General features: G+C 57.0%; 1 protein-coding gene across 1 annotated transcript, besides 2 other annotated features; it reads right to left on the bottom strand.

Moving 5' to 3' along the window:
• Positions 1–4,252: 4,252 nt before the first annotated feature.
• On the bottom strand, positions 4,253–6,356 carry GALR3 (galanin receptor 3). Its single transcript, NM_003614.2, has 2 exons — positions 5,973–6,356; positions 4,253–5,015 (listed from the first exon to the last, which is right to left on the bottom strand). The coding sequence occupies exons 1-2, from the start codon at positions 6,329–6,331 to the stop codon at positions 4,268–4,270; spliced, it is 1,107 nt and encodes a 368-aa protein (NP_003605.1). The 5' UTR covers positions 6,332–6,356; the 3' UTR covers positions 4,253–4,267.
• Positions 10,095–10,646: an enhancer, noted in NCBI's record as "H3K4me1 hESC enhancer chr22:38215099-38215650 (GRCh37/hg19 assembly coordinates)". NCBI's record gives its function as "activates a minimal SCP1, AML or CMV promoter by ChIP-STARR-seq in naive H9 embryonic stem cells {active_cell/tissue: H9 hESC(naive)}" and the evidence as "EXISTENCE:reporter gene assay evidence [ECO:0000049][PMID:30033119]".
• Positions 11,815–12,034: a silencer, noted in NCBI's record as "silent region_13701". NCBI's record gives its function as "represses an Ori minimal core promoter by ATAC-STARR-seq in GM12878 lymphoblastoid cells {active_cell/tissue: GM12878}" and the evidence as "EXISTENCE:reporter gene assay evidence [ECO:0000049][PMID:35858748]".

The raw sequence follows: 12,328 nt of genomic DNA, 5'->3' as shown, positions 1-12,328 counted from the left end.
TGTGGGAGCAGATAGGTGAGGACCTGCCAAGGGCACTCCTGAGCCCACTGTCCCCTAGGCAGGCTGCTTGGTATTTGCAGAGCTGAGAGCTGGGGCATGCTGGGACTGTGAAATCGCCCTGAGATGACCCACAGTCCTTAGCTGGGAAGCAAGGCCTGTGTCTCCTGCAGCATCCTCCATCCCTGGAGCCATGGATCCAGGAGAACTGGCCGTTGCGGAGGTGGAGTGTCTATTGTTGACTCCCTCCCTGGCCATGTAGACAGTGAACCAAAGGCTTGACTGAAGGTGGCTTATAGGTCAGTCATCAAACACTTGCCAGACAGCCATGTAGACAGCCAATCTGCCTCACCCCATTTCCAGCCAGGATATTTCCTGTAACCCCAATTGTGTCTGAAGAGCCAGCCAGATGAAGTCGGCCTCAGACACTGGAGTGAGTCACAAAACACCCAAGTGGTCCCTGAGCTGGCTGGACTGGGCAGGATAGAGAGCTCAGTGGTCCCTGAGCTGGCTGGACTGGGCAGGATAGAGAGCTCAGTGGTCCCTGAGCTGGCCATGGGCCAGGGCAGGAAAGAGAGCTCAGCTGAGGTTGTACTCACAGGGGTGAGTTTTGCTGGTTGCTGGCTGCTCTGCGAATTACTGAAGAGTCGGGGAGGTGCGGAGGAAGGCTTAGAAGATGGCAGGAAGAAGAAACATTTGGTGATTTCACCTTGCGGGTTAAGATCCTTTGCCTTATACTTCGTGTTTCTTTCATGTTAGAAATATTGGGCTAGGCGCAGTGGCTCACACGTGTAATCCTAACACTTTGGGAGGCCAAGGCAGGTGGATCACCTGAGGTCAGGAGTTCAAGACCAGCCTGGCCAACACGACGAAACCCCATCTCTACCAAAAATACAAAAATTAGCCAGACGTGGTGGCGCCCACCTGTAATCCCAGCTACTTGGGAGGCTGAGGCCGGAGAATCACTTGAACCCAGGAGGTGGAGGTTGCAGTGAGCCAAGATTCAGCCACTTCACCCCAGCCCGGGCAAAAGAGTGAGACTCCATCTCAAAAAATAAAAATAAAAATAAAAATAAATATTGACTTATTGACTTAGTGCTTGCTATGTGCTAGGCAGTGTTCTAGGTGGGAGGACAGCAGGGAATGAAAGGACAAGCTCCCTGCCCTTGCCCACCTGCAAACAGTGGTTGTGAAACGTGGCACGTACTCAGAGTACACCGCTATTCTGCGGGCACCCCCACCATGACCACCAAAACTGTCCCCCTCAGTTATCCCCACTGCCACCCCCAAATAGCCCAAGCCAGAAGTCTGGGGTGTCATCTGGGACACGTCTCTCCTCCTTACCCTCCAACAGTCACCAAGTCCTAGCAATTGTACCTCCTAAGTGGCTGACCCATCTGTCCATGTCTCCCCACCACTTCCAATACCTCTATGTCTTTCTCTCTGGATTCTCACACGAGCCTCCTGACTGACCTCTCTGCTCCAGTCAGCACACTCTGTACTTCCTCCCTATGAAAGCCTGCCTGGGCAGCCAGAAAGAGCTCCCTAAAGAGTAAATCTTTTTTTTCTTTTTTGAGACAGAGTCTTGCTCTGTCACCCAGGCTGGAGTGCAGTGGCGCGATCTTGGCTCACTGCAACCTCTGCTGCCTGGGTTCAAGCGATTCTCCTGCCTCAGCCTCCCGAGTAGCTGGGATTACAGGTGTGTACCACCAAGGCCGACCAATTTTTTTTTTGTATTTTTAGTAGAGATGGGGTTTCAGCATCTTGGCCAAGCTGGTCTTGAACTCCTGACCTAGTATCCACCCGTCTCAGCCTCCCAAAGTGCTAGGATTACAGGCGTGAGCTACTGCGCCAGGCCCCCTAAAGAGTAATTTTTTTTTTTTTTTGAGACGGAGTCTCGCTCTGTCCCCCAGGCTGGAGTGCAGTGGCGTGATCTCGGCTCACTGGAAGCTCTGTCTCCCGGGTTCACGCCATTTTCCTGTCTCAGCCTCCCGAGTAGCTGGGACTACAGGCACCTGCCACCACGCCCAGCTAATTTTTTGTATTTTTAGTAGATATGGTGTTTCACTGTGTTAGCCAGGATGGTCTCGATCTCCTGACCTCGTGATCCGGCCAGGCCTCTTCTTAAGAGGTTTGCACAAACAGGAAGGTAAGAAGGTTGTAGAATCCAAACCTCCTTCCAACTAAGAAAAGTGCCTTTCCAGGTCCCCAGGGCTGCCCCAGGCTCAGCCCTACACTTGACAGAGGGCTCAGATCAGGAGGGTTCTCTCAGGCCCTGGGGAGCAGTGGCCAGGACTCAATTCAGCCTCCGCTCCGACCCTCTTGCCTGCCTTGGGCTCTACTGGACACACAATTCTCTCCTGAGTTATTATTATTACGACCATCTGCTCTTCCAAGTGTTTCATTAGCCCCCTGAAGCAAACCTCGGAGCCTCGGGAACCAAGCCCAAGCCTGGCAGCAGGCCATCCATCTTCCTGCCAAGTCCACGGCAAAAATATCTTCCCAGTCCTAGGCCAGGCCTCGTTGGCTTTCCTCAACAGAGCTCACGGAGCAGACTCTTTACCAGTCTCCTCACTTCCAAGAAGGGCCCAGGAGAACCCACCTGATCGGAGTCCTCTGCCAAGTCTAGGCCTCCATTCCAGCTTGTACACAGCAGCCCTGGGAGCTTTCTGAACTGCACATCTGATAGGCCCCCTCCTCTCCTGAAAACCTTCAGTGGCATCACCATCTGCCTGAAGGATGAAGCTCCTGCCCTCCAGGCCTCCCCTGCCCCAATCTCTCCCTGCCTCAGCTGCAGGAGCCACTTACTGCCCTGCACGTCCCCTGCCTTGCACAGGCTGTTGCTCTACCTGGCATGCCCCTCCCCACCTTTGTCCAAGAAAATACATGTCAAATGTTACCTCTGGGCCGGGCGCGGTGGCTCACGCCTGTAATCCCAGCACTTTGGGAGGCCAATGCCGGCGGATCGCTTGAGGTCAGGAGTTCAAGACCAGCCTGGCCAACACGGTGAAACCCCATCTCTACCAAAAAATAAAAATAATAAAAAAATACAAAAATTAGCCGGGTGTGGTGGCATACGCCTATAGTTGCAGCTAGTCGGGAGGCTGAGGCAGGAGAATCGCTTGAACCTGGGAGGCGGAGGTTGTCTTGAGCCAAGATTGTGCCACTGCACTGCAGCCTGGATAACAATCTCTCTCTCTCTCTCAAAAATAATAATAATAATAATAATAGAAAAAAAAAGAAAAAGTTACACAGCCATGGGTTTGTATCCAACCTCTGCCAAACACCAGCGGTGTGGCAAATCACTAAATCTCTATGATCCTTGATTTCTACATCTGTAAAATGGGGCTAAACAGCCGGGCACAGTGGTTCACGCCTGTTATCCCAGCACTTTGGGAGGCCGAGGCGGACGGATCATCTGCGGTCAGGAGTTCAAGACCAGCCTGTCCAAAATGGTGAAACCCCATCTCTATTAAAAAAAAAAATTAGTCGGATGTGGTGGTGGGCGCCTGTAATCCCAGCTACTCTGGAGGCTGAGGCAGGAGAATTGCTTGAACCCGGGGGACGGAGGTTGCAGTGAGCCGAGATGGCGCCACTGTAGTCCAACCTGGGAGACAAAACTCTGTCTCTAAAAGACAAAAAAAAAAAAAAAAAAAAAGGAAAGGTTAATCATATCTATTTGCAAAGCTGTTTTGACAAAGAATGTAGCATGAGGCATATGGTACCTGCTTAATAAATGTTTTTAGAGACAAGGTCTTGCTTTGCTGTCTAGGCTGGAATGCAGTAGCGTGATCATGGCTCACTGCAGCCTTGAACTGCTGCCTCAAGCGATCCTCCCGCCTCGACCTCCCAAAACGCTGAGATTACAGGCATGAGCCAAGCGCCTGGTCCCACTTAAATATTAGCCATTTATTAGCTGTTGATGTTAAATTACCTAGGACTGAGCTTGGAACCAAGAAGGAGATAGTTAAGAGGTGGTGGAGGAAGCAGGGCCTAGGTGTCACCCAGTTGGAAGAATGGGCAGAGGGACTGCCAGGCTGGCTCTGGGCAGGCTCTGGGGGCTGCCCTGCTGGGGGCGGGCTGTGCTGTTCATATTCACACCCAGGGGTGTCCACTGGGCTGGTGCTCCGCTGTGGAGCGGGGACAAGTCGCTCCACTCAACGCCCCTCAGAGAGCTCGTGGCATTGCCCCATCCCTGGCCCGGTGGCGTCCCGCCTTCGGAGAACGGGAGTGAGACAGACGGACACAGGCGGAGTCCAGGCGGCAGGGTTTATTCCGGTCCTCGGGCAGCCTCTCCGCCGTGGACGGGTCCCTCCCTGGGCTCCGGGCCCTGGCCGCCACCAGCCAGCAGCCTCCCGCTAGGCCGGGCGTCTCCGGGGCAGCCGGGTGGGCCCGAGGACGCGGGGCGGACGCGACGCAAGGCGCGGCGGGCACGGTGGCGGCGTCGGCGGCCGCACGGCCACAGGCGGCGGAAGCGCGCGCGGAAGTGGCGCGAGGCGAGCGCGTAGACGAGCGGGTTGAGGCAGGAGTTGGCGTAGGCCAGGCAGTGTGAGGCCAGGCGGCAGGCGTAGGTGGCCGGGCTGAAGGCGAAGCGGCCGTACCAGAAGCACAGGATGAGCGCGTGGTGCGGACCCCAGCAGAGCGCGTAGAGCGCGGCCACCGCCAGCATGGCGCGCCCCGCGCGGCCCGTCGCCCTCCGCCGCGCCTCGGCCGCCGCCGCGCCCGCGGGACCCACGGCGGCCCACAGGAAGCGCAGCGTGCGCCCGTAGGCCAGGCTCACCACAGCCACGGGCAGCAGGTAGCCGGCAGCGAAGGTGGCCACGTCCAGGGCGCGGCGGCGCGCGTCCTCCCAGGCGGGCACGCAGAGCTCCAGCGCGCCGTAGCGCACGGTGCCGTAGTAGCTGAGGTAGGGCGCCGAGAAGAGCGCCGCCAGCAGCCACACCAGCCCCACTGCGGCGCGGGCGTTACGCGGCGTGCGCAGGGCGCGCGAGCGCAGCGGGTGCCGCACGGCCAGGTACCTGCGGAGGGCGCCTGGTCAGCGGGGCGGGCAGGTGCCCTCCCGCAGGGGCCCGCGCCACGTCCCGCGCCCGGGCCCTGCGGCCCAGTGCGCCTCCTGTGAACCGTGGGGGACGTGGCGGGGATTAAGGGTGTGAACGCGCAAGGTGCTTAGGCCCTTGCACCTAGCAAGGGCCCGATCCCGGTGACTTGTTATTTCTAGGATTATTTTATGGATGCGTCAGATGAGGTCCAGAGAGAAGTGACTTGCCCAGGGTCATCAGCTGGAGTGAGCCTGGATTTGACCCCAAGTTTCAAGCTGTGGAAGCAGATGTGTGCACAGCTTGGCCAGGTGTGGGCAGTTAGAAAATAGCTGGGCTGGGCGCGGTGGCTCACGCCTGTAATCCCAGCACTTGGGAGGCCGAGGCGGGCGGATCACTTGAGGTCAGGGGTTCGAGACCAGCCTGTCCAACATGGCAAAACCCCGTTTCTACTAAAAATACAAAAAATTAGCCAGGTGTGGTGGCCTGTAATCCCAGCTACTCAGGAGGCTGTGGCAGGAGAATCGCTGGAACCCAGGAGGCAGAGGTTGCAGTGAGCCAAGATCCAAAAAAAAAAAACAACAAAACAAAACAAAACAAAAAAACTGATGAACGCATTCGTGAGCTTCTTTTGCGATTCATTTCGCGCTTACAGAGCACTTACTATGTGCCAGACCCTGTGCTGCCACTTGAGACTCAGAGGCGTCCTCTGGAAGTTCACAGTGGAGGAGGGGAAGGGCAGGACAGTCCCCTCAAGCACGCCCTGCAGGTGCCCAGAGGCTGCTTGCGAGGGGTCAGGGAGCTTTTGTTTCCTCCCACCCACCTCCCTTTCTGGTCCCCCACTCTCTCCTTCCTAAGGCCAGTGAGGATCTGTTCAGGACTCCTCCCCCAACCCCCGCCCCCACAGCCCTGCCCAGCCAGGCCCCAGGCACAGCGCACCTGTCCACGGAGACAGCAGCCAGCGTAAAGCTGCTGGCGTACATGGTGAGGTAGATGAGCAGGTGCACGGCCTTGCAGACGAGGGCCCCAAAGAGCCAGGCATCCAGCGTGTAGATGGTGGCCTGGAAGGGCACGCAGCACAGGATGAAGCAGAGGTCAGCCACCGCCAGGTTGAGGATGAACAGGTCCGTGGTGCTGCCAGGCTCCTGCCAGGCACTCGGGCCAGGCTGCAGGAGCACTGCCAGCACCAGCCCATTGCCCACTGTGCCCAGCAGGAAGATTAGGGCAAAGACCACAGGCACTGCCACGGCCCCCACACTCCCTGGGCTGTCCAGTGAAATGTTCTGGGCATCAGCCATCTCCCCATCAGACGGGCACCTGGGAAGAGAAGCTGGAATCCTCAGGCAAGAGCCCCCAGTTCTGGTTGCTTGACCCCGGGATCTAACTCCCCCGACCTGGGTCTGGCCAGGTGTTCTGGGCTGGAAGCTCGTGGGAGATGGAGGAGGGGAGAGCAGAGCCAAAGTCATCGCTGAGTGTCACTGTGTGAGCAAGCTCGTGGTGTTCAAGGGGTGAGAGTTCCTCAGTTTCCTAAGGAACACCCCTGGAGTCCTGCCTGGAGGACTACCTAGGTATTTGAGGGACACTTTCAACCCACGAGGCTGGGGAAGGCACAAGCGAAGTAGGATGAAGATATGGCGATGGGGGGAGGGGCCAAACCCAGAAACTGGTATGTTTTCCTTCTCAATGGGGATCTGAAGCTCAGGGGAGACCCTGGGACATGGGTTTAGGGCTTTCTCTGGCTACAAGCTGTAGCCTTAGCAAAACACGGGTAACATCCCTGAGTCATTGGAGGGTCCAGTATAGTGAGATCATCACAATGGCAAAACTGGGAAGACCGTGTAGGTCACTGCTTCCTCTCTGCACATAGGGAAATTGAGGCCCAGAGAGGGGACATGGGAGGATAATATCACACTCGAAATGGCAGCTCTGGGGCTGTTGCCACCCTGGTATCCTGCCTCTTAAGCTAGAGTGCTCATCTGAGAGCTTGTAACAGGTGGTGCCTCTGACAACTTGTGTGTGTGCACACCGCACCCATGCTCACCCCCATCCCACTCTACAGCCCATGTCTCCTACTGCCTGTGGATCTCCTTGCAGGCTTGAGACCACTGGGGTGGTGGGACAAAGTAGGGGAAAGGGGGGTCAGGCAGGGAGTAGGGAAGAAAGGCAATGTCTGCCCCCATCCCAGCACCCAGCATGCAGTAGGTCCCCAAAGCCCAGGATGGGCAACACCCACCTCCGCCTTGGGCAGTGGGCTTGATCCTGGGTGGAATGGCCGGGCTGGGTGGGCCTCCTGATTCAGCGGCTGCCCCTTGGTGCCTCCCTGCAGGTACTGGTCTGCCTTCTACTTCTCCCCCTTTGCCTTTAAGGCCCCTCCTCTCCTCTGCCCCCTCTGCTGAGCCGGAGTTGGGCACTCCCTCTGGAGTAGCCACTGGCCACTTCCTCCTCAGTCCCTGATTTCCCCCAGGTGGCAGGCTCTTCTGCCTGGCTCTTCTCTGCCTCTCTGCGTTGCTGCTGCCTTTTCCTCTCTCTGCAGCCAGTAACCCATTGATCTCGCTCTCTGTGATTTGCTTTGTAGTTAACCCCTCTGTGCCCAGGGCCCAGCCAGTCTCTGGCACTCCCACCTCCTGTGGCCCAGCCTGATGTGACTCCATCCCCTATCCCTGCACCTTCTTGCTCCAATCCATGTTTAGAAAAGGTTCCTAGGCCGGGCATGGTGGCTCACGTCTGTAATCCCAGCACTTTGGGAGGCTGAGGCAGGCAGATCACTTGAGGCCAGGAATTCGAGACCAGCCTGGCCAATGTGGCGAAACCTTGTCTCTACTAAAAATACAAAAATTAACTGAGCGTCGTGGCGGGCGCCTGTAATCCCAGCTACTCTGGAGGCTGAGGCAGGAGAATCGCTTGAACCTGGGAGGTGGAGGTTGCAATGAGCCGAGATGACGCCACTGCACTCCAGCCCAGGTGATGGAGTGAGACATTGTCTCAAAAAAAAAAAAAAAAAAAAAAAGAAGAGGCTGGGCGCGGTGGCTCATGCCTGTAATCCCAGCACTTTGGGAGGCCAAGACAGGTGGATCATGAGGTCAGGAGTTCAAGACCAGCCTGGCCAAGATGATGAAACCCCATGTCTACTAAAAATACAAAAATTAGCTGGGTGTGGTGGCGGGCACCTGTAATCCCAGCTGCTCGGGAGGCTGAGGCAGAGAATTGCTTGAAGCCAGGGGTTGGAGGTTGCAGTGAGCCAAGATCGTGCCACTGCACTCCAGCCTGGGCGACAGAGCGAGATTCCGTCTCAAAAAAAAAAAAAAAAAAAAAAAAAAAAAGGATTCCTAGTCTTGACTGGGGTTTCCTGGAGTGGGAAACCAGGACTTGAGTCTCCTTTCGGCAGACTCCAGAGACTCCTCCCTCAGGCTCTGCAAATCCTGAGATCCTTCTCCGGAAGCTCTTTCCAGAGCCTTAGTCCAGCTGGAGCCCAGATGGTTTAGGTACCTGTCCAAAAAGTCTGGCTTTACCTGATAGCAACGGGGAACTACTAAGATTCTACAGCAGAGACATGACCCGCACATTTTCTTTCTTTCTTTCTTTTTTTCCCCCCACATTATCTTTTGTAAAAAGTTTGTTATGGGCCAGGCGCAGCGGCTCACACCTGTAATCCTAGCACTTTGGGAGGCTGAGGTGGGCGGATCATCTGAGGTCAAGAGTTCGAGACCAGACTGGCCAACATGGCAAAACCCTGCCTCTACTAAAAATACAAAAATTAGCTGGGCATGGTGGCTCACACCTATAATCCCAGCTACTCAGGAGGCTGAGGCACGAGAATCGCTTGAACCTGGGAGGTGGTGGTTGCAGTGAGCCGAGATCGCTCGCACTCCAGACTGGGCAACAGAGCGACTCTGTCTCAAAAAAAAAAAAAAAAAAAAGTCTATTATTGCCCGGGGTGAAAAGGATGGACAGAGTGGGAGAGATTTGATGAGTGACCTGTTAGGAGCCTCTCGTCTAGGCAAGAGCCAAAGAGGAGAATAGGTCTTGGTGAACGGCTGTGTGATTTGGTCATGGAGTTCTGTCCTGAACTGTGTGGAGGAGGGGCCACATGGCCAAATGCCTCCAGAGGGTTAGGGAGGCTAGCACCTGGGGAGCAAGGTACACTGGATTCAGCAATGAGGAGGCTGCTGGTAAACTGGACAGGTGTTTTGAGGGCAAAAGGCAGTCTGCAGTGAGTTAAGGAAGGGAGGGGAGAGGTGGAGGGGCTGAGTGTAGTGTTTTTAGAAGCTGGGGCTGGGGTTGGGGAGCATCAAGGGGAAGTGCGTAAGGGGAGAGAAAACAGTGTGAGGGGCGCTGATGGAGCCAGGACTCGCATCCCAGGCCGGAGGAGCTGGGGTAGATGCTCAGAACTAGCTCCTTAAGGCCAGGCGTGGTGGCTCATGTCTGTAATCCTAGCACTTTGGGAGGCCAAGGCAGTTGGATCACTTGAGGTCAGGAGTTCAAGACCAGCCTGGCCAACATGGTGAAACCCATCTCTACTAAAAATTAGCCAGGTATGGTGGTGCACACCTGTAATCCCAGCTACTTGGGAGACCGAGGCAGGAGAATGGCTTGAGCCCGGGAGGCGGAGGTTGCAGTGAGCGGAGACTGTGCCACTGCACTCCAGCCTGGGCAACAGAGCAAGACTCAAAAAAAAAAAAAAAGAAAAGAAAAGAACCAGCTCCTCAAAGGCCCCGGGGTTTTCACGAGGGCTCAGAGGTGCCTCTATAGAGCCTGATGTCACCTTCTTTAGATGCAGAAATTCCTCAATTTTTGGAAGCAGAGTCTCACGGAATTGAAACTATTAGGAATCTAATCTAGACTTGCCAAACCTGAATTCAGAAGCTTCAGAATTGAATTAATATATATATATATTTTTGAGACAGTCTCGCTCTGTTGCCCAGGCTGGAGTACAGTGGTGCGATCTCAGCTCACTGCAAGTGCAAGCTCCGCCTCCCAGGTTCACGCCATTCTCCCACCTCAGCCTCCCGAGTAGTTGGGACTACAGGCGCCCACCACACCCGGCTAATGTTTTGTTTTTGTATTTTTAGTAGAGACGGGGTTTCACCGTTTTAGCCAGGATGGTCTCGATCTCCTGACCTCGTGATCCGCCCGCCTCGGCCTCCCAAAGTGCTGGGATTACAGGCATGAGCCACCGCGCCCGGCCAGAATTGAATTAATTCTGAATTGAATTCAGAATTGAATTGCGCAAAGGAATTGTAGACTCTTATGATCCCTGAATGGCGAGACTCAGCTTGGTGGGATTTTAGAAACTTTGACAGACCTGCAACCACTGCGTGAAAGTAACGCACCCTTAGACTCCCAGAAGCCTGGACGAATGTGCATGCCTGAACCCTGGAACGGGCTGGAAAGCATCTGAGATTCATGACTTCGCACTCCTGGCCCTTGGGAGCCCCCTGCCCACAAGGTCCTTCTTGGCCTAGGGCGATGAGCTCCCAGCAGCGGCAAGGCTAAGCTGATATGAGAGCGGAGGTGGAGGGAAGGAGGAAGGAACAGGCGGCCATAAAGAGCGCGGCCGTGAGCCTAGACCTTGGGTGCGCCCGGTGCCACCTCCATCCACTCCTACTGCCGCTTCTGGTAGCCCGCGGCCCTGAACCCCGTGCGCGACGCAGAGAACAAGGACATTGCGCCCTTGGGGCGGTCCTCAGAGCCTCTGATTCTGCAGAACGCAGACTTGCAGCTGGTCCACGGCCGGCCCTCCCGCCCCGCGTGGCCCTACAGCTTGTCGTGGGCGGCCGGCGACTACCGGTAGGCGCCCAAGCCGAAACACGTGCACCCAGAGCGGCTGCTGCGCCTCCTACAGACACCTTCTGGATGACTGCGGAAGAAGCGCGGCGGCGGACCCGGGCTGGTGCAGCAGGACACGCTGAGCCGCGGGTTGGCCAACGGCGTGGAGCCCTACCGCGATCGGCTAGCCCAGGGGGTCGCGGCGCTGCCAGCGCAGCAGGGCAACGCCAGCGGCGGCTCCTGGGAGCCACAGGGGCGGCGACGCACTTTCTGCGCCGCTGTCTGGATCTCGCCTCGTGCCGCCTCACGTCGGTCTGGGTGGACCTGGGCCCTCTGTTCTGGCCCCGCCGGGTGCAGCACACCGACTGCCACACGTCACCCCGCAGCTGCCCGTGGCGCTTAACATGAGCTGCTGGCTAGAGCAGACCATGCTCATCCAGCTGCTGGCTCGACATTACTGGTTGAGCCCTTGTGCACATCCCCTGCAGCAGCGCGCCTGGTGCCACGTGCCCTAGCCGGTGGTGGTGGGCTGCAAATGTTCCTGCCGCTAATGTGGCCACAGCTACCCCAGCCAGGCTGCCTTCCACCCTCACACCGACCCCCCACACCCCCCCTCCCCCAGCTCCTGGACCCCAGCAGCAAGGTCCTCCGGATCGCAGGCTGGGATTCCCTGAATCCCAGCTTTCAGATCCTGCAGGGCTGGGCCAGAGCCCAGCTCATATTACATTGTTCATCCCAAGATAACAGGCAAATGGGTGGGCTGGAGGTGCAGGACGTCAGAGAGAGACGTAGGGCTAGTTTCATGTCGTTAATGATAAAGGGCCTTTTCGTCCTCTGTCCCAAGCAAACTAAGAGCTTCCCAAGGTCACACCACGCTGAGGGTGGAGCTGCGGGGACCCCACTCCCCACCCCACAAGGGGTCCACAAGGTCGCCAGGGAGAGACCGCCCTCCTCCCGCAGGCCCCTCCAACAGGAAAGCGGCGAGCCGTTGTGGGGCACAAGGGAGGATGGGGCCTTGGCAGCAGCAAATCGCCTCTCCTGGCCTTGACTGCTGGGCAGCCTGAACAGCCGCGGCCCAAGGCCCCCAGTCTGGAGGGGCGGGGCGAGCCGGCGGCCGCGGCCCGTGCTCGCAGCACCCCCTGGTGGCTGATCATCGTAGGCCTTGGAATGAGCGAGATGGAAGGACCTCAGACCTCAAGGCATAGTGGCAGGAGGACTGAGGCACACACAGGGACTGGAGCTTGCCGAAAGCCAGAGTAAGGCAGGGAGAGAGTGGGCGCGAACACAGGGTTCCAGACTGTCTGGAGCTTCCCCAGGGGTGATCCTCATTCTTTTCTTTTGGGCCTGAATCCTCTGCCTCTCCTTCCAAACATGGACACCCAGCCTCCTCCTATCTGGGCAGCTACAGGACATCTTCCAGTGGGGAGAAGGAAGAAGCTAGACTCTAAGACTAGACTCAGGGGCTGCAGAGTAGCGGGCAGTGGCAGGGTAAAAGGCCTGTGGGGCTAGTTCTCAGCAGCCCTCCACAG

This window comes from Homo sapiens, chromosome 22 (assembly GCF_000001405.40).
Source record: "Homo sapiens chromosome 22, GRCh38.p14 Primary Assembly".
Taxonomy (NCBI): domain Eukaryota; kingdom Metazoa; phylum Chordata; class Mammalia; order Primates; family Hominidae; genus Homo; species Homo sapiens.
Note: the sequence above shows the minus strand (reverse complement) of the source record. Positions and strands in the feature narration are given on the sequence as shown.